The 20,295-nt window shown below is 46.8% G+C and overlaps 1 protein-coding gene across 50 annotated transcripts in view, besides 3 other annotated features; it reads left to right on the top strand.

Moving 5' to 3' along the window:
* Positions 1-20,295, top strand: part of HDAC4 (histone deacetylase 4) — a 353,482-nt gene that overhangs the window by 179,411 nt on the left and 153,776 nt on the right. The window lies entirely within an intron of this gene.
* Positions 6,434-7,132: an enhancer, noted in NCBI's record as "H3K27ac-H3K4me1 hESC enhancer chr2:240136803-240137501 (GRCh37/hg19 assembly coordinates)". NCBI's record gives its function as "activates a minimal SCP1, AML or CMV promoter by ChIP-STARR-seq in primed H9 embryonic stem cells {active_cell/tissue: H9 hESC(primed)}" and the evidence as "EXISTENCE:reporter gene assay evidence [ECO:0000049][PMID:30033119]".
* Positions 7,133-7,831: an enhancer, noted in NCBI's record as "H3K27ac-H3K4me1 hESC enhancer chr2:240136104-240136802 (GRCh37/hg19 assembly coordinates)". NCBI's record gives its function as "activates a minimal SCP1, AML or CMV promoter by ChIP-STARR-seq in naive H9 embryonic stem cells {active_cell/tissue: H9 hESC(naive)}" and the evidence as "EXISTENCE:reporter gene assay evidence [ECO:0000049][PMID:30033119]".
* Positions 8,559-9,064: an enhancer, noted in NCBI's record as "H3K4me1 hESC enhancer chr2:240134871-240135376 (GRCh37/hg19 assembly coordinates)". NCBI's record gives its function as "activates a minimal SCP1, AML or CMV promoter by ChIP-STARR-seq in naive H9 embryonic stem cells {active_cell/tissue: H9 hESC(naive)}" and the evidence as "EXISTENCE:reporter gene assay evidence [ECO:0000049][PMID:30033119]".

The following is a 20,295-nucleotide window of genomic DNA, read 5'->3' as shown; positions in this document are numbered from 1 at the left end:
CCTCCAGATACAGCCCTGGCTGGTACGGCCAGCACCCAGGGACTCTGCACACGGAATTCCACGAGAATAACATCACGGGCTGCCGTAAAAGCCAGGGAAGCGAAGGGAGGCGTTTCTGATCTGTTTCTGGCCTTGCGCTGGCACAGGGTGTCATCCCTTGGGTGGGAAGGGTCTTTGGAGCCCCTTATGGCAGCAAGTTTACAGCCGCATTTGGATTTAATGCTGGCAAGGAAGGACTTTATTTTCTGTTCGAATCAAATTTGGAATACGTTTTTGAGTAAAGCTTGCTGCGTTGTTGATACAGCTTATTACTCAGAAGAAAAAAAGCCTTTTAAGTGACCTGTTAAGGAAAGTTTTATTTCCTCAAAGTTCGTGATAGCTTCAATAGTTTCGGCTTGTCATTTAATAGGACCTTTTGAAAGAAATATTCACCAGAAAAGAATCACTTCAAGTTGTGTGTGCATTATAAAAATGGCTCTCGTCCACGATGACTGGCTGAAAAATGAGATTTTTGAGTTTGTCATACATTTAGGGGACCCTTAAGAATGTGGACAGATGTGGAAGTAGCTGTTCTTCAGTTGAAGGCTGTGTGTGTGTGTGTGTGTGTGTGTGTGTGTGTGTGTGTGTGTCCCACTCTCAGCGCACTTTGAGGCGCAACTCGAGGTGACACAGTTGAGTCCAGGCCTTGCGGTGAGTGCTGAGGACACAGAGATGGGCATGGGCCGTCCTTCCCAGCTGGCCACTCTTAACCCCTGGGGAGGGGCACAGGGTCTCCGAAGCTCCTGCCACACTCCTGTCTTTTTTGTTTTGCTTTGCAATTCAGTAGTCCCTGTGGGGTAACCAGATGCTCTTAGCTTTGTTGGTTGGAGCTGTGATTTTTTTTTCCAGAGGGTTTCCCAGAATGCTCCCATCTCCTCCCCTGATGTGGTGTCAGGTGGCACCATGGTGTCCCCCGCTCCTGTGCACAGACCTTGGCTTTCCTCAGCGGTTTATGTCAGAGAACGGGCCGATGTCCGCTCCATCCCCTTCGCTTCTCTTTTATTCTTCTAAATGGTATTCGCAAGAACACTAATACCATCTGACAGGGTTCTCCTTCATGTAGAGGAATCATTTAAGGCGCCTGTAAACGGGGAAGGTAAAGAGAGACAGGGCGGTGAGGCCTCTGTGCCTCACTCAGCGGGTCACACGCCACCGCCCGCAGAATGAGCTGAGTCCAAGGGCTGGTGGGAGGGAGGTCTTCGTGGTGAGGGAGTACCTCGCCTTGGTCATGATGACAACACGGTACCAAGGTCGGTCCCTGGCTTTTTTTGGCTACAGAAGGTGGAACCAGTGGGGGAAACCTGGCGGAAGGGTACCTGCAACCTCTCTGGACTTTCTTGGCAACTTCCTGTGAATCTATAATTATCTTTTAAATTCACAATATTAGTGTGAGAAACCTTTAATAAAATATATGGCTCGTTTCCCATCTGTTATCCATTTAAAGTTGAGATGTGTCATTCCATGGGATTAGAAATAAAGAAAAAAAGATGGATGTTCGTAGATGAAGCTGAATGACTAAGGTTGATCATTGTGGTAGCCGGATACGTGGGTGTTTATTATATTCCTCTCGCTAACTCTGTGTGTCGTTGAAGATTTTCATGATGAAAGGCCGCTGACCAGTTCCTAAGAGTCTTCTGGCACCATCTTCTCCGAGGTCACTGTCTTCCCCTACCAAGCACAAACTGTCCCCACCATAGGCTTTATCGCTTCTGCCTAGATCCGCAATCTGTCAGATTTCTTTCATCTTTATTATCTTCTTCCTCTTTTTCAGTGCACAGTGTATGCTTTAATTTTCTAGTTATTTTTCTAACTTTTTGAGTCTAATGTTTTTATTTGTTTGGGTTCCTTTTGTAGTTACTTACATGTAGGCAGCTATTCATTGTTCTCTGAGCTCAATTTTAGGCAATTCCTACAATTTTCGATATGTGATGTGTTCATTACTTTATAAATTTTTACCACTTTCACTAGAATTTGAAGCGTTTAAGAGAAAGAGACTCATTTTTCCCATGGTTGGATTTTTGTTTCTCCTGGTTTTATTTCTGGTTCTGTTGCAGTGTGTTCCAGTGTTTAGTCTACACTGTGTGTATTTGGAAACTGTGTTCTTTATGTGGCATTGGTTTTTGTAAATGTTTCATGGAGGCTTGCAGCAAAAGGCATACATGGCTTAATGATAAGAGGTTCGAGGCCTATCTGTTGGCTGAAGTAAGAATTGTACTATTCCCATCCTCTGTATGCACACCTCCTGTGTGTTTGCTCTGCCGTGAGTGTACAAGAGCAAGTTCATATCTAGTGCTGACCATGTGTGTCTTCATTCTGTGTGTTCTGTGTTTTTACTCGAAGGTACCCACAGTGTGTGCCTCAGACAGTTCCGTCATCTTTGTAGATTGCATGCTTTATACTTAGGAAATGGTCAAATATGTTTGATATTTAGTGTTGGATTCAATCTTTGTGATACCGATATCTCGATTGCACATTTCAATTTGTTTCTATTTGCCTTTTGGGGCTTTTTACCCGTCTAATCTGAGCCTTACACTGGATTTGTTTTTATTTTATTTATTTTATTTTATTTTATTTTATTATTATTATACTTTAAGTTTTAGGGTACATGTGCACAATGTGCAGGTTAGTTACATATGTATACATGTGCCATGCTGGTGTGCTGCACCCATTAACTCGTCATTTACATTAGGTATATCTCTTAATGCTATCCCTCCCTCCTCCCCCCACCCCACAACAGTCCCCGGTGTGTGATGTTCCCCTTCCTGTGTCCACGTGTTCTCAATGTTCAATTCCTACCTATGAGTGAGAACATGCTGTGTTTGGTTTTTTGTCCTTGTGATAGTTTACTGAGAATGATGATTTCCAATTTCATCCATGTCCCTACAAAGGACATGAAGTCATCATTTTTTATGGCTGCATAGTATTCCATGGTGTATATGTGCCACATTTTCTTAATCCAGTCTATCATTGTTGGACTTTTGGGTTGGTTCCAAGTCTTTGCTATTGTGAATAGTGCCGCAATAAACATACGTGTGCATGTGTCTTTATAGCAGCATGATTTATAGTCCTTTGGGTATATACCCAGTAATGGGATGGCTGGGTCAAATGGTATTTCTAGTTCTAGATCCCTGAGGAATCGCCACACTGATTTCCACAATGGTTGAACTAGTTTACAGTCCCAGCAACAGTGTAAAAGTGTTCCTATTTCTCCACATCCTCTCCAGCACCTGTTGTTTCCTGACTTTTTAATGATTGCCATTCTAACTGGGGTGAGATGGTATCTCATTGTGGTTTTGATTTGCATTTCTCTGATGGCCGGTGATGGTGAGCATTTTTTCATGTGTTTTTTGGCTGCATAAATGTCTTCTTTTGAGAAGTGTCTGTTCATGTCCTTCGCCCACTTTTTGATGGGGTTGTTTGTTTTTTTCTTGTAAATTTGTTTGAGTTCATTGTAGATTCTGGATATTAGCCCTTTGTCAGATGAGTAGGTTGCGAAAATTTTCTCCCATTTTGTAGGTTGCCTGTTCACTCTGATGGTAGTTTCTTTTGCTGTGCAGAAGCTCTTTAGTTTAATTAGATCCCATATGTCAATTTTGGCTTTTGTTGCCATTGCTTTTGGTGTTTTAGACATGAAGTCCTTGCCCATGCCTATGTCCTGAATGGTATTGCCTAGGTTTTCTTCTAGGGTTTTTATGGTTTTAGGTCTAATGTTTAAGTCTTTAATCCATCTTGAATTAATTTTTATATAAGATGTAAGGAAGGGATCCAGTTTCAGCTTTCTACATATGGCTAGCCAGTTTTCCCAGCACCATTTATTAAATAGGGAATCCTTTCCCCATTGCTTGTTTTTCTCAGGTTTGTCAAAGATCAGATAGTTGTAGATATGCGGTGTTATTTCTGAGGGCTCTGTTCTGTTCCATTGATCTATATCTCTGTTTTGGTACCAGTATGGATTTGTTTTTAATATAATGATTGTTCAGTCCTGTTTTTTATCCAATCTGGTAATTTTCATGTGACTCTGTGTTATTTATGAATGTTGATAAAATGGACATATTTCTCCTAAAATTTTCATCCAATTTTATATTCTGTTTATCTGTTTTTGTTTTTTGAGCTGGGGCCTCACTCTGTCGCCCAGGCTGGAGTACAGTGGCATGATCATGGCTCACTGCAGCCTCTACCTCCCAGGCTCAAGCAGTGCTCCTGCCTCAGCCTTCCGAGTAGCTGGAACCACAGGCACGTGTCACCACTGCTGGCTGACTTTTTAATTTTTTGGAAAGATGGGGTCTTATGATGTTGGCCAGGTTGGTCTCAAACTTCTGGCCTCAAACGATCCCCCTCCCGCCTTAGCCTCCCAAAGCACCGTGATTACAGGCGTGAGCTGTTGTGCCCGACCCTGTTTTCTGTTGTGAATGCTTCTTGTTTTGTTTCCTATTTGACTTCTTGGATATGGGCTTTCTTACCTTTTATTTGGTCTGGTGTGTGTGGTTTCTTTTCCTTCTGGTGATTTGGAAGGCCGTGCTCTCTTTTTAGTTCTTATTGTGTGAACTCTTATGAGCTCATACGCTTTCCCTAAACTGTGCTTTCCTGTTCCAGCACCTTCAGACGATGTGAGAGAGTAGCCCGTCGGCACAGACACTTTCTGCCGTCTCTTTTCTCCAACCTTCTGATTTTGTTACTTGCAGTGTTATTTTGAGTTTTGGTGATTCTCTTTATAACATATAAATAATATATTTAGACTGACATTTATCAAGTTATTAGCCTTAAAATGGTTACTGATTCTATCACTGAGAAAAATGAGAAAACAGATACATTAAGTTTCTTCCCCCAAATTTCAGTTTCATTACCATTTCCATTTAAAATGCGAGGAATTTTAGGTTAACCACTAGGTTTTGGAAAGTTGGGTTTGAAGATCTGGTCGCTTGATTATCCACCATGAAGGGGAGTCGACGGGCCTCTTGCTTTTGGAGAGCTTCCGGGAGCGATGCTGCCGGCTCCTGGAGACCCTGCTACCGCCTGTGCTGTGTTCAGGCTCTGCCACCAGCGGGTCCCCTTTGGAGCCCTGCGGAGGTGTGTCCTCCTGAGCCCACCCTTAGGCCCAGTGCCCGCAGCCTGCCATGGCCCAGGGTGTGAGAATGTCTGCCAAGGAGGCTCCCTTTCTATAGGAGAGCTGTAAGGGGGCTCGGGGTTTGGGGTTACACTGGGGGAAGGGAAAGTGGCGTGAATGCAGTCACCTGTCTTTTGCTACTTACTTCTCTTCTGACAAACCAGGGACTGTGTCATTTAGAAATTGTTGAGAATAGTTCGAGGTAGCTTAGTCAGAGCTTCCTTCCTGTGCACATTCTGACTTGCCTAGAAAGATGCCGAGTATGGCGGGTGGAACCCCTGTGCACCCCCTTCTCACCAGACTCCCATCCCGGCACAGGGAAGGGGCAGGACACACACCCTTCCCGGTCAGTCCTGTTCCCAGGGGCCCAAGTAGCCCACAGGAGGAAGGAGTGCAGCAGGGCAGAGTGAAGGCGGAGGGTCTGGCAGGTGGAGCTTCACCCAGAGAAGGAGGCTGTGTTCCTGGAAGGACATTCAGTTCAAGAGCAAAGGCTCAGATGTTCATACCATAAATATTCAGCATCACATAAAATTAAAAACTCAGTTAAACAAAGCCTTCTCTTCTTCAGAAGGTTTTGGTTGTTAGTGGTCTGCAGCGCAGCAGGTGTGGACAGTGAGCACCTGTGTCCCCAGGTGTCCTGAGAGGGCAAGATCAGGGCTGGTAGGGCGCCCTCCTCATCGTCTTCCTCCTCATCGCCAGTTGTCTTTAAGGTCAGAACATGAGAACATCAGCTCTTAGTGCCAAGGTTTTTTGGAGACTTTTTCTTTTATTTTTTTTTTTCTCTGGGAAGATGTGTGAGAACATTTCATTTTTGTTCTTGAATGGAATCTTCCGCATAAATACTACATATACATGTACATATGTGAGTATGTGTGAATATCTATGTGTGTGTGTGTATATATATAAACACGTGCGTTTTTATATTCATTGATGTGGAAAGTGCTCACAGTGATTACTAGGGGAAAAGCATGCATAATATGGCCCTAATTAAAATGTAAAAGCTATATACAATGTAAGCACATGTACATATATATGCTGAAGAGTATATATGTTTGATTTTTTAAACAAATTAGGGTTTAATGTGTTAAAAGTACCTATTATTTTAAAATAAATTTGGGTGCATTCTATGAATATATCATAACTTTTATGAGTCCAGCCAATGGCATAAATATTTACTTGGGGACTTTAACACACATTATCAAATTGCCTTCCAGAGAGGTTGCACCGTTCATTATTTATTCAGGGTGATTTTTTATGAACCAAGATTCGCAGACCCCCAGTGCCTGCGCGGAACTGATGACCGCGTCCTCCAGGGAGCCCGGTGCAGAGGCGCTGGTGCAGACAGCTTTGCCAGTCCACACTTTCTTGTTTTGAAGTTTTTGTGTCTTGTTTCTGTTTTGGTTAGTGGGGAAGGGGTGTCTGCTGTCTGGAGATTAGAGAGAGGTGTGGCATTTCCTGCGGGGATGTCTCCTAGTGTTGCCGCCATTCATGTTGTTGACCAGAGAAGAGAGATGGAGTCCAGGTGGGCAGAACTCGATCTCCCTGCGCCTTGAGCCAGCCCCGTCCTGAGCCCTTGCCCACTCCAGATGTGAGGAGGTTGGCGACGGTCTTTGGTGCCCTCCCTGTTGATTTCAGGTGAGATGAGGGAGGGCACTTTGGCCTGCAGGGAGCCCAGGTTTCTGGGGCGTCGACCCTGCTTCTCTGGGCTCCCAGCAGCCAGCCCCTGGTTTCGTGTCACCAGTGACTCCCTGTTGCCAGCTTCCATGCCCGGCCTCAGCCCATGGCCTCTCACCAGTGTTGACTTGGTGGAAGCACCTCCTTACCACACCACATGCTCCTGGTACCTTCCCCCGCCCCGGCCACCAGTCCTCAGGTGCCTTGGTGGGTTTTTCTTATCTCTCCAGCATCATCACATCCAAGCGCCCCAGGGCTTGTCTCCGGCCCACTCCTTGTTTCCACTGAGTCATTCCCTTGGTGATATCCTGGCCTCATCCAGTCAAATCATAGATCACAACACCATCTTGATTCTGCCGCTCGAATGTCTGCTCCCGCCTGGATCTCACCTGCCTTCCAGATCCTAGAGCCTGCTTGCCGTCGATCCCCAGCTGGGCGTTCTCAGACTCAGCAAGTTTGAAAGCAGGCTCCTGATCTTCCCCTGCAAACTTGCTTCTCCCGCGGCCTCTCCTACTCAGGGCAACCTCCGGGCTCAGGATCCCAAGAGTCCCCTTGACTCCTATTTCTCTCCAGTCCCATGCATGGCCTGTCAGCCAGCACTGGCAGCTGCCCATTAAAGTGTGTGCAGAGGGAAGGGTCCCAGTCAAATGTGAAAATGTTCTAAAATCTTGGTAAATCTACTAAAAGATTGTTGGATTGTACATTTGAGAAGGGCAGAGTGTAAAATATACCTCTTTAAAGCTATCAACACGTGTGCTGAGCCTGGCGGCTGCTCACAGCTCCAGCATTGCCACGCGTGGCGAGCCACAGGTGTCACCCATGTGGCTGTTGCAGGTGCCTCCTCACCTGGCCCCAATTCTGTTCTTGCCCCTCTAGTCTGATCTCGGCCAAGGAGCCAGAGTGCGGTTGACAGAATAATGGAACCCCCGAAATGTCCCTCAGCTAATCCTCAGCCCCTGTGACTGTGTAACCTTACCCGGCCAAAGGAGCTCTGCAGATGGGGTTGTTACTCACTGGAGATGAGGAGGTTGTCCTGGATCATCAGGGTGGGCCCTTTGTCTTCACGAGGGTTCTTTAAGGAAGAAATCAAGAGGATCGGAGTCAGAGGAGGTATGCAGACAGAGTGTCGACAGGGCCATGCAGGTGCTGGTGTTGAGGAGAGAAGGGACCAGGAGCCAGGGGACATGGCAGCCTCCGGAAGCTAGAGAAGGCCAGGAGCAGATTCTCCCCTGGAGCCTGCAGAAGAAGCACAGCCCTGCTGGCTTTCTGACTTTCGCTCCGTAAACCCCATGTCAGACTCTGGCCTCCGGAACTGTAAGATAATAAACATACGTTGTTTCAAGCCATTGAGTTTATAGTAACGTGTCACACACATCAAGCACAAGAAGCTAACACCCAGAGTGAGCCTGTCAACTTTATGTCAGCCAGACTCAGCTTTTCACTCCCAACCATGTGACCTAGGCAGATTTCTCTACCTCCCTGCCTCAGTTTTCCACATCTGTGAAATGGGGACTAGCAGGCGGTTAGGCACATGCTTTGCATAGCTTTCTGCTTTCTTGCGGGTCCCCCTCATCCAGCTGTGTACTCATGGAGGGCAGGCCCTGCCCTGTGCACTGCAAGCGCTCCAGGGAGCTGGAGATGAAGGCTCACTCTGTCCCTGTCAGGCAGTGTGTGTTCCATGCTTTTATTTCAGTGTGTGCTGAATGTGGGCTGTCCTGTGCGTCTCCCCTTGGTTTTTCTCCTGGGAACCCTGATGCTGGGTTTTCCAGCGTAAGCACATCAGGAGTTTTGTTGCTGGAGTTGGGTAGTGGCTCCGGCCACTCTCCGAGCTGGAAAAACACAAGCTGGTGTGACTATGCAGATGCAGGCTTTTGGGGATAGACAATAGATGGGCCTCCAGAACCCGAGTGAATTCCAGATGCAGTAGCAACAGCAGCAGGCTTGTTTGTGTAGGGTCCAGAAGTTTCTTGTGGAGAGCTCAATCCTCCAGTGAGTGGTTGAACTTGAGTAGCAGTCTTCAGCGAGCAGGGAATGAGGGGCGCGGGCACCGCTGAGTTGTGCTGTTGGGTTTAAAGAAACCTCATGGCCGTTGCTGAGTGCGTTCTTTTTCAGCATCCGCCACGGCTCACCCTTCAGCATTCCTCCTGGCTACCCAGCATCTGTCCTTGTGGCTGTGCCCCGCCCGCCCCTCCCTGGCCCCTACTTTGCTGTTATGGGACTGATGAGCTGTGCTAAGCCCTCCTCCTCCTCATTCTTGTCCTTCCTTCCAGCATCGTGGCCGTCTCATATTCTGGGGACAGCTCTGGGTACTGGCGGGACCAGAGAGAGCAACCCAGATGCCACACCTCCTCCAGCTTTGCGTTTTCCTGGGCGATTGCAGGGAGGGGCAGACAGTAAAGAAGTGAACAAGTCAACAGACTGGAACCCACGTGGGTACAGAGGCTAGAGGGGGCCTTTGTTTTGGTCTGCTTTTCTGTTTTTCAAATTAGAGTCTTTCCCAAATGTTTGGTGATCCTGGCTGGCCAGCGTCTAAGAGTGAGTCTCTAACAAGCTGGGCGGGGCATGTTGACTGCTTATCTTCCTGGCCAGGTGGCAGACAGGGACCTGATCACTTCCTGGTGGTCCTGGATGCCACTGCCTGTTGTCCTGTTCTCTTAGCCCAGAGAGGACCCTCCCAGCTCCTCCCTGGAGTCCAGGCCTGGCTCACACAGCCTCACCCCTTGGCATGTCAGCTCTCACTGCCCCTGTTTACTGCCCATGCTGGCGCTCCTGCCCTCAGCCTGATAGCACCAAGCCTGGGGAATTCTGGGGGAATGGGGTTGGTCCCTGTATGGGGGGCAGAAGGGATGAGGGGTCACATGCTCTTTATAGCTCAGCCTTCCCTGGGCCATTCTGGCCTTCAGACCAGCCTGGCTTCAGCTCTCTGGTCAGCCAGCCCCCGACTGGCTTCCAGAATTCTATGGCTGCTGTCTGCTTGTGGGATCTGTGTTTTTGGAGAGATTTATATCTTTTTTCCTTTTTTCTTCTTTTTTTTAAACTGCTTTTAGAATGGGGTTGAGGGAGTCGGGTCAGTGCCCTAGCCTGTGTTCTTTACAGGAAGCAATTCTTTAAATGTCAAGAGGGAAATGCCCCCTGCCCGCCCAGCTCAGCCAGGAGGCCGTGGGTAGAAAGACCCTTTCAACCAAGTCTCACAATTAAGGTTAGAGATGATTTTGGCTCCTAAGAATACTCTAGAAATCTAAAGCATCCCAGTTCACATCACTTTTATCTGTTTCTTTGTAAAAATGCTTATCATTGGGCTTACAGATTAAAATTTTAGTGAGACAGAACATCGTTTTCCCAACCTTCCCATCGGTCACATTAGAGCAAAGTCTTCAAGAGCATTTTTCACTTAAGGGATGTTTTCTAAAAAGTGACCCTGTGCTTTTGATGAAATAGTCAGCTAAGGAGAATGGAACCCTTTGTACCTTCACGCTGAAGTCTAAATTCAGCGTCTGCAGGGCACGGGACTGCTCTCGAGGAAGCTCCTCGGTGGCGCGTGGTGCCACTACCTCTGGATTGTTTGTTTTTGTCCTTTTTTTCGGGGCTTATTTTTGAAAGCAAAGGCATGATCAGTTATAGCAGTCCTTGAAGACAGTTTAAGATGCTGGATTCTGGGGAATATGTTATATGGCTTAAGAACATCTGACAGCTCAGTGAAAGCAAAGTGGAAAAGTCACTGCCTGGGATTTAAAGGTGTGTCTGCAGCTTCAGCTTTTGAATCATTGGGTTTAGAAACCACAGCCCTTGCTTCAGACAAAGTCCCAAGAATTGGAGTCTGGTGTTGGCTGGCAACCATATCATTCAAGTTAAGCCAAGTGAGGTGAGAAACTAACGGAATGGCAATTTCAAATGCAGATTCCTTTGATGTTTCTTTTATCTCAAGATAAAACTCAGTGCTGGGGATTTCTTCATCCTCATTTGACTAAACCCAGTCAAGATGTGTGCAGGGGCCCGGACCACCCTGGGGACCATCACCGTTAGCAACCAGGACTTTCGGCCCCCAGGAGAAGCACGGGGCAGGGCTCTCAGGAAGGGCAGAGCCCAATTCTTTCCAGCATTCTGGAAGCTGGCTTTTATACTGCTTAGTGATTTTGTATTGTGAGGGCAACAATTCTGTTTATAATATTAAAAATAGGATGAAAGAAATAATATATTTTCTTCTGTCAGACATTTTTGTTTAAATTTTTGAATAGATCCATTTAAAATGGAATGTAAGTGAATCTTTTTGTGAGAAAGTGATTTTCGATGCATGAAAGCTAGGTGATTTTACCCTGCAGTCAGGCTTCTGATCTGCAGGTATTGTAACGTTTAAGATTGCTTCATCCAGCCTTTCAAATACTGTCCAGTAAAGCAGGACAGGCCAGCATCCACCTTCTTTTAGGATGGCATGTGTAAAGGACCCTCAGTGTTTGTGGAGTGTGTTTTCTGTGATCAGGTTCATGCCATAAATCCCCTTTAAGAGTTGGCCGGCGAAGGAATAGTGCTTTTTCGTCCTTGTCCCGTGGAAGGTGCCGCAGGAGCTGGTTGGTTTTCACTCGAGAGGGTTCTGGTCTCAGCCGCGTTCCAGGCTCAGATCCCAAGCAGGTCATTGTATAAATGTTCTTATCCCACCTGTTGAGTGTCCTCTGTCACCAGGAATTCAGGATGGTAGGATTTTGTGCCGTCACTCTGTCCTCTAAACTGGCGTTTCCTCCTTTATTATGATAATATAAAGGGGACCTTGTGTCACAAGCGAGTCACTTTTGGTGGAAGTGGGGCAAGACATTTCCCTGTGCTGGTTTAAGCAGGGCCGGTCTCCTCCAAGGGAGCCCCAAGCCGTTGTGCTCACAGGCCGGGTAATAAATGTACACGTTTGTAGTAAAGCCATTCACCACTCCCCAAAACACAACGCTGAGAATAGGGTTTAGCACTGAGTTACTTTCTTTAAAAAACTAGTTTTGCCGTGTAAGTATGCTTCCTCAGTCAGCATACGGTTTGGATTTGCTTTTCCGAGCTTTTAATAATCGAAATCATACTGACGTCGTTTTCTGCAGCTTGTTTATTTTTGTTTTTGTTTTTTGTGTTTTTTTAACTCAGCATTGTTTCTAAGATTCATTTACGTCATTCCACATGGCTGGGATTCGTTCACTTTCATGCCAGATACAATTCTACACTCTCAATATTCCACTGTTTATCTGTTGCTCTGTTGATATTTGGGCGGTTTGTAGTTAATGCTGCTATAATGAATATCCTTGTACCATTCTCCTTGTGTAGACGTGCAGGAATTTTTCAAGGGTGGCTGTCCTAAGGAGAGGGCTTGTTGCTGGGTCACGAAAGCGAGATTCGGCTGTCTATGAGAAAGCCCACTGTTCTAGAAGGCCCCGTCTCATTCATGCTGCTGCTGCTCCCACGCCCCCGCTCCCTGCCTCTCCACCCGTAGTTGGGTCGGTGGGCGTAAAGTGGGGTCTCCAGGGGTCTGATTTGCCTTTCCGCCCTCACTAACATGGTCCAGCGTTTGATCCTTTGTTTCCCCTGCTGTCAGGGTCTTCTGTGACCAACCCATTCATACCTTCTGCTGTTCTTTGGAATTCTCTCCTTCTGGCGGCTTTATAGGAGTTACTTACATGTTACGGATACAGGTCCTTTGTCAGTTGCTGTGTTAAAGTAGCTCCTCTGAGATTCAGCCTTTCACTTTTTAAGGCTGTCTAGTGAGCAGAAAATTTTAATTTAAATGTAGTCAGATGTAACAACGTCATATTTTGTCGTAAGAAGCACTTTTCACATCTTGAGTTTTCTATTCCAAGGATATTTTCCAATAGTGTCTGCTAAAAATTTCAACATTTTGTCTTTCACATTTGAGTCTTAATCCACATGGAATCCATTTTGGCCTGTGGTGTGAATAGGGACGAATCCCATCTTTTTGTTCCCCGTAGAATAGTAGGATAAGTGTTTGTCCCAGCTGCATTTGTGGAACACCCTGTTTTTTCCACAGTAATCTGCAAAGGACCTGCATCTACCCTCTTTGGGACCACCTCAACTGCTTCTCAGTTCTTCTTCCATGTAGTTTTATATTCAGCTTTTAAGATCATGAACTACCTTGCACTGGACCTGTAGTTCCGTTTGGAGAGAATCACTATCTTTAGAATAGTAAGTCTTCCTATCCTTGAATACGAGCTATCTTGCCATTTATTTAGACCATTTAAAAATGTCTTTCAGGGCCAGGCACAGTGGCCTGATCACACCTGTAATCCTAGCACTTTGGGAGGCTGGGGCAAATGAATTGCTTGAGCTCAGGAGTTCAAGACCAGCCTGAGCAACATGGCGAAACCCCCTCTTTAAAAAATAATAATACGTAAACTAGCCATGCGTGATGGCGCGCCTCTGTAGTCTCAGCTACTTGAGGGGCTAAGGTGGGAGGATCGCCCAGGAGGTGGAGACTGCGATGAGCCATGATCGTGCCACTGCACTCCAGCCTGGGTGACAGAGTGAGAACCTGTCTCAAACAAAGAAAAAAAGTCTTTCAATATATTTTATAATTTTTATCCATAAAGGTCGTTCTCATTTTTTGTTAGAAATACTTCTAGGTGCCTTGTATTTTTTTTGTTTCTTATGTTAGGTTTTCTGCTTGTTGCAGTATGTTGAAGTGGAATTGGATTTCTATGTTGATCTTATCTAACACCGTATTACATTTCCTTATTAGCTCTATTGACTTCCCTGTCATTCTTCTCTTTGCAGGTGGTGGGGGTGGGAGGAGCTCAGTATCTGTAGCCTTGGAGTCTGGATCAGGAGTTGTGTTCCCTCCCTTTGTGCCTGTATCATTACATCAGCTTTTTCAGGATTCACCATTAAAAGCAATATTTGCTGGGACCTTTTAATAGATAACTCTTTTTTGGTTAAAGAAGCGCTCTTTTATTTCTAGTTTGCTAACAGCTTTTATAATGAATAGCTGGATTTTAACATATACTTACTTTCATTCTGAAGATGATCATAATTAACGGTGAGTTGGATTTATAGGTGGTTTGTACATAGGTTGCTTTTCTTGTGTTTTCTTTTTTTTTTTTTTTTTTTTTTTTTGGGACGGAGTCTCGCTCTGTCCCCCAGGCTGGAGTGCAGTGGCGCGATCTCGGCTCACTGCAGGCTCCGCCTCCCGGGTTCACGCCATTCTCCTGCCTCGGCCTCCGGAGTAGCTGGGACTACAGGCACCCACGACCGCACCCGGCTATTTTTTTTTTTTGTATTTTTAGTAGGGACGGGGTTTCACCGTGTTAGCCAGGATGGTCTCCATCTCCTGACCTCGTGATCCGCCTGTCTCAGCCTCCCAAAGTGCTGGGATTACAGGCGTGAGCCACCGCGCCCGGCCTTTTCTTGTGTTTTCTTGTGTTAAAACACCAGGTGTATTGGTCTGCTGTCTTTTCTATAGACTATTAGATTAAGCTTGCTCATAGTTTATTTGAGATTTTTGTGACTGTATTTATGACCAAGACTGTAATTTTTCTGTCTTTTTTATACTTTGCCCAGTTCTTTTAAAAGGATATTTATTCTCCCCTCATAGGATTGGCTCAGGATCCTGCCTGCCCTTTGCATTCTCTTGAAGAGTTTGTTTAAAGTTGCATGATCCATTAGTTGAAACGTGGCTGTCGCTGCCTTTAAAATGATTTTTGTGAAAAGATTTTAAAGTATTAATTCAATTTAGTTCATGATTATAGGGTTAATTCTGTTTTCTATTTATTTTTTGTCAACTTTGGAATGTTTTTCTAGAAATGTGTCTACTTCATGTAAGTTTTAAAACTTACTGGCCTCAAGTTGTTCCTTTGTATTTTTTTATTTTTTAAATCTCTGCCATATCTGAGGCTAGGTGATTAAACTCCTAATGTTTTTTAATTTGTGCCTATTCTTTTTATTTTCTAAATCACTCATAACAGAAGTTTGTCTTGTATTGGTCTTTTGAGAGAATCACTTTTTAAAATTATTTTGGTGTATATGAGTGTATGTAATGATTACATTTCATTTCATTTATGTATTATCTGCTTTCATCTGTTTTCTTTGGATTTGTTCTACTGTTGCTTTTCTAATTTCTTAAAGATATATCTCGTCTTTCAGTTCGTATTATTATTGTCATAATAAGTATTTAAGGCTACCAAGTTTCCTCTAATTATAGTAAACAGAATCTTACAAGATTTTGTATGTATTTTTTTCATTCTTATTCTTTTTAACTGTTATGGCTTCTTCTTTGGCCCATAGATATTTAGAAATTTTTTTTTTTTTGAAATTGAACTTTCTATTGTAGAGAATTACAGGCATACCCAGCGGTGGGGAGAGCAGGTGGAGTGAGCCCTGGGGCGTGGTCAGGTGGCTTAGGCCAGGGCAGTCCCTCCAGTACTTGCGTTTAGGCCTCCCTCCCATCCCCAGCCTCTCAGTCTTTCAGAATCAGACCCCAGTCACCATGTCATTTCATCAATAACATTCTAGTGCCTAGCTCTCTAAAAGATAGGGACTCTTTTACTGCATTGATGATGTACATATTTAGACAAGATGAACCATTCTTTATTATTAGCAGATTTTTACCCAATGTTGATATATCCCTGATGGTGTTTAAAATCACTTTTTTAGTTTGTGGTTTGACTTTTGGTACCAGGAGTCTCTGGGTCCAAGCAGTGTTCATACACTGTGATTGGCACCTGTCATGAAGTCCTCAGTTAATCTCTAGGTTTCTTCTTCCTACCTTTTTTTTTTTTTTCAGTCCTTGAGATTTATCTGTTGAAGACACTGTATTGTTTGTCCCACAGAGTTTTCCTTCCTAGGTTCTAAATTTTACTTGATTTTAGCCCTGTCATGTCATTTAAAATGTTCCTTTGTTGCCTGGATTTCCTATAAATTGGCAGTTAGATCTAGAGGTTTGATCAGATTCAAGCTTGGTTATTTTTGGTAAGACTTTATAGATGCAATGGTGCACCTCTTTTGGGAGGCAACCAGCCATACCCATGTGTGTGTGTGTGTGTGTGTGTGCACGTATGTGTGCATGTATATAACAGCCGTATTTTAAAACATTTATTTAATTACTTTCTTTTTTTTTGAGGCAGGTTTTTGCTCTTTTGCCCAGGCTGGAGTGCAGTGGTGCAATCTCAGCTCACTGCAGCCTCTGCCTCCCACGCTCAGGCCATCTTCCCGCCTCAGCCTCCTGAGTAGCTGGAACCACAGGCATGCACCACCACACTTGGCTATTTTTTGTAGCTTTTGTAGAGATGGGGTTTTGCTATGCCTCACAGGCTGGTCTTGAACTCCTGGGCTCAAGTGATCCACCTGCCTCAGCCTCCCAAAGTGTGGGATTGCAGGCGTAAGCCACTGGGTGTAACTAACAGCCATATTCGTTATCCAACAAATTATTTCTTTCTTCTCCTTAAAATTCTTTCTGATGGATCCTGCCCCAACCTGACCGCTGCTTTGGAGGTGATGTGCTTTATTCCTGGCAGTTAAGGTGAAACGTTACTGCATGAGCTTAAAATGTCTAAAGTCCCTATTTTATGTCCCTGACCTCTACAACACGTGGGTTACAGACACTTTAACACTGAGCACCCCTTCCCCATTCACCTCTTGCCGTTCTCTACTATTTAAATTTTCCTTCACTTCAACCCCACAAGTTAGGTAAACTTCTTCCTTCTTCCTTCTTTGTTCTTCTCCCTCCCTCCTCGTCCTCCCCTCCTCCTCCTCCTCCTCTTCCTTCTTCTTTCTTCTTCTTCCTGTGTTGTTCAGATGAAGTCTGTTTAGATTTCTCTCCGTAGCCCCCAGTTCTTTGCTCACCTTTTCTTCCCTCCCCCTTTCTCTGCCCACCTCCATGTTGTTGATCCTCCCCTGACTGCTTCCTGGTGAGTTTTTTAAACTTTCTTAGTTTTCAGCCTGGTATATGTTTATATCCTGAGCTTTCTTGCAGAATAGCTTCCCTGTGAATGCGATTCTAGCTTGACAGTGGCTTTCTCTTAGTTCTCAGAGGCTCACTGGTCCTGGCTTCTGTGACTGCATTTCCTTTGTTGGATAACGTTGCCCATATTGCGGGGTCTTCTGAACTCTGTCTCAGCGGTCTGCTGTTTCGCTTTGAAGTTGTCTTGATTCCATTCTGCTTTTTCATGCATCGTTGTGCTTTCTGTGTCTGTAGATGCATGTCTCCCACCAGTTCTGGAAAATTGTCAGCCATCTATCTTCAAATATTGCCTCTCCAGAGTTCTGACAGTATGTAGAGGTTTGCAGCTCAGAGTACAGACTCTGGCACCTGAGTCCCTGGCCTAAATGTAGGCCTTGCCACCTGCCAGCCACGTGGGGTGGGGAGACCAGGCCGGAAGGATGAGTGCCTGCAGGAGTTCAGTGCTGAGGGACAGAGGCGGCTCGGGGACGGGGGAAGGTGGGGAGGCCCTAGCAATCAGCTTTGATGACAGGTGGGGTAGGGAGGAGCACAGACACCTTCCCTGTGACATTGAGTTAGCTCTTTGACCCAGGTAGCAGGGGTTAGCTCTGTTGGGGGCAATGGGGACCCTAAGAGGCTTTGGTGTCTGAAAACAGAGGAAGGGGCCATCAGAGGCCCCTCCGTGGTCTCAGCACCTGCCCTGATAGGAGCTCCAGAGGATAGACTTGGGGTGCCCTCTGTCCTGGAGGGTTGGATGCAGGGTTGAAACCTGACCCATTCCCAGGGTCTGGCTGTTGAAGGGCGAGAAGCGGCAGACTCTCTGTGCCAGGCCCGGGACGCCTGGTCCATCCCTAAGCCCTTCCTGAGCACACCTCAGTGGTGCAGCCCTCCACGGACCCTCTTTTCCCTGAAAGCAGGGGTTCTTGGGCCAGCGTAGGGGCTGGCAGTGCAGATGGCAGACTGTAAGGGCCGGTTTCACTGGACGTGATCCGAATCAGAGCCCTCTGCCCATTTCCCTGGGCCCATCGCAGCCTGCCTGCCAGCTACCTGCCGTTCCTGACATTCTGCCTGGGAAATCGTGTTTGTGTTCCCGAACCCTCCGCAGTACAGACACCTTCCCTACGGAGCCCTGTGTATTCAGGGTGCCTTTTCTAATAAAGCCCAGGCCGAGTCACCACTGCCTGAACTGGAGGGCCCGTGGCCCGGGCACAGGGGCCGCTGCATCGTGGTCAGCATTGTGGTCGGCTGTCTATCTGCAGTCACTACACCTGCACAGCATGGGGACGCCGGGACACGGCCGGCCAGCAGGATGCCCTGCGCAGAGAGGAGCTCACAGGTTCACAGAAGCCGCCAGGCTAGATGCTTAGAAATGAGGACTCCTGCTTTACACAGGAATATGAGGTTTACCAGAATCTGCTTCATTGTTCGAATTCTCTTCCCTTCATTCTCCTACACTATGAAGAGCTTTTTATTTCCCTTGGAAGAGAGAGAGCTCGATGGATGCATTGGACCCGGACTCCTAACCAGGAGCTGTGGGAAGGGCGCTGAGGAAATGAAAGCCAGTGTTTCTTTCTCCCTCTTCAGTGGAGAACAAATCAGCTCCTATTTTCTTGGTGCCTTATGAAGCGGGAGTGTTTCTGAGTCCTACTCGAATCCATTGAAGCTGATAATTCCATTTTAGTGTCGTGTCTGTGTTAGTACCTCGCAGTCCCTCATCTCCACTGCTTTGCATACAGAAGGTTTTGCAGACTGAGGAATCCCCAGCCAGGGCTGGGGGTGAGGGATGGAGGCTGCAGTGAAGTCTTTCCCTACTGGACTATGGGTCAGGGATGGGCAACTGTCTGTGGTCGCCTTGGCAGTCACCACGGCAGTCACCACACCCTCCTTTTACAGAAGACAGTCAGACCGTGGACGTTCAGTTCATGCATGTTTTAGAACCCAAGTCTGTTTCAGTTAAAGCGGTTCAGCTTCGAGACCACAGGACTCATACTGGTTAGTGATCCTGGAGGGAGGGAAAGGCAGGTCCTTTGGTTTCTTTCTTATATCCTGAAAGTGTAATTTTTGTATTTTCCAATGAGCCTTCTTGGCTTCTAGTTAGAGTAAAAAATGGAATTTTCTAAATCTGAGCACGGTCAAACGTATTTTTATCCTTGACTCGTGTGTGAAGCTGACACTGATTTTGCTAGAATAATTCTATTATTAAAAAGGGACAGGGAGGATTCTTCCCAGGTGCACCTGTGTCCACCTTGTCTGTGCTGGGTGGGCACCCACTTGCTGGGGGTTTGGAGTCTCCAGGGCTAGGCATCCACACTGGGCTTACTGAGCTCTTCCCCTTGGTGTTTCCCGCTCTCTTGCTGGACCAGTGGACAGGTCAGGCCCTTGGCCTTTTCGCGGTAGCTTCTGCCTGCCACCCTATGGCACAGGAGCCCTGCAGGGCTGTGTGCCTGTAGGGCTGAGGCTCCACTCAGCGCTGCCAGCACCCAGGAGTCTGGGCTTGCTGCCTGGGCTGTGCTGCACCCCGTAGCCTACATCCAGGTGCGGCGATCAGTCTGCTGCTGCTCAGGCGGCGTGGACAGGCCCTTCCTTTCTTGTCAATGCTCTTTGCCTTCCTGGTGCTCAACTAACAGGACATGCCAAAACCTGCAGCCCTGCGCCCTCCTGGACACACTCGTGGCATCCTGATCACTGGGTTTATCACCCTGGGTGATGAAAAGCTTTTTCTGGGCCTGCTGTTTTGTCCCAGAAGTGTGTGGAGCTCATGAGGTCAGGGGGTACAGCTCCATCGAGGAAGCCTTGCCTTGTCTCTCCTGGACGGTGATTCTCCATGTTGCATGGCCCTGCCACCGCCCCTCCCGCGTGGAGGGTGCATCCTGTCCCTGTGATGAAGACCAGCCACACCCATGCCAGCCCTTCTCCCAGAGTCCTGTGTTGAATACCAGCCACACCCATGCCAGCCCTTCTCCCAGAGCTCCGGTTGCCCTGCAACAAGCAGACATCCTGCTGTCGCCCCGATAGATGGAGGCCAGGGTACCTTCTCCAGAGTCACCCCGCTGGGTCTGAACTCACACCCCACCCAAGTCTACGCCCCGTCCACTGCCCCACTTTGCCTGTCTCCAGGTGTTACCTGTTTCTTCTCGTGTCTTAAGTCCACACTGGAAATTTGGAGAGACCAGGTCTTTCTATCTGAGTGTCCTGTGAGACAACCTAAAAGGAGATTCTGGGTGGAGATTACTCTCATTAGGCTTTCCTGACAAATACCATCCTGCAGTCTGGTACTGGAGACTGCAGAGCTTCCTACTATAGGTAGTCCCCATCTTACGCCAGTGTCCCCTCAGGCTGGTTCCAAGGTTCGTGGATGAGGTGAGGGCATGGAGACAGCCAGCCCTCCAGCAGCACCCGCTCGCCTTCTCCATCAGAATGTTCTCGGGTCCAGCAGACCCGGAGAAGCCCTGGGATGCTGGAGATGCCTGCAGGGGGGTGGAGGCTGGGGAAAGATCCTGCCAACTGCAGGGACCACCCTTCTCAGTGGCACAGATTTGGGCTGAGTTCATACCTTATTATG

Source organism: Homo sapiens, chromosome 2 (genome assembly GCF_000001405.40).
Source record: "Homo sapiens chromosome 2, GRCh38.p14 Primary Assembly".
In the NCBI taxonomy this organism is placed as follows: Eukaryota; Metazoa; Chordata; class Mammalia; order Primates; family Hominidae; genus Homo; species Homo sapiens.
The sequence above is the reverse complement of the archived record's forward strand: the minus strand, read 5'-3'. Positions and strand labels throughout refer to the sequence as shown.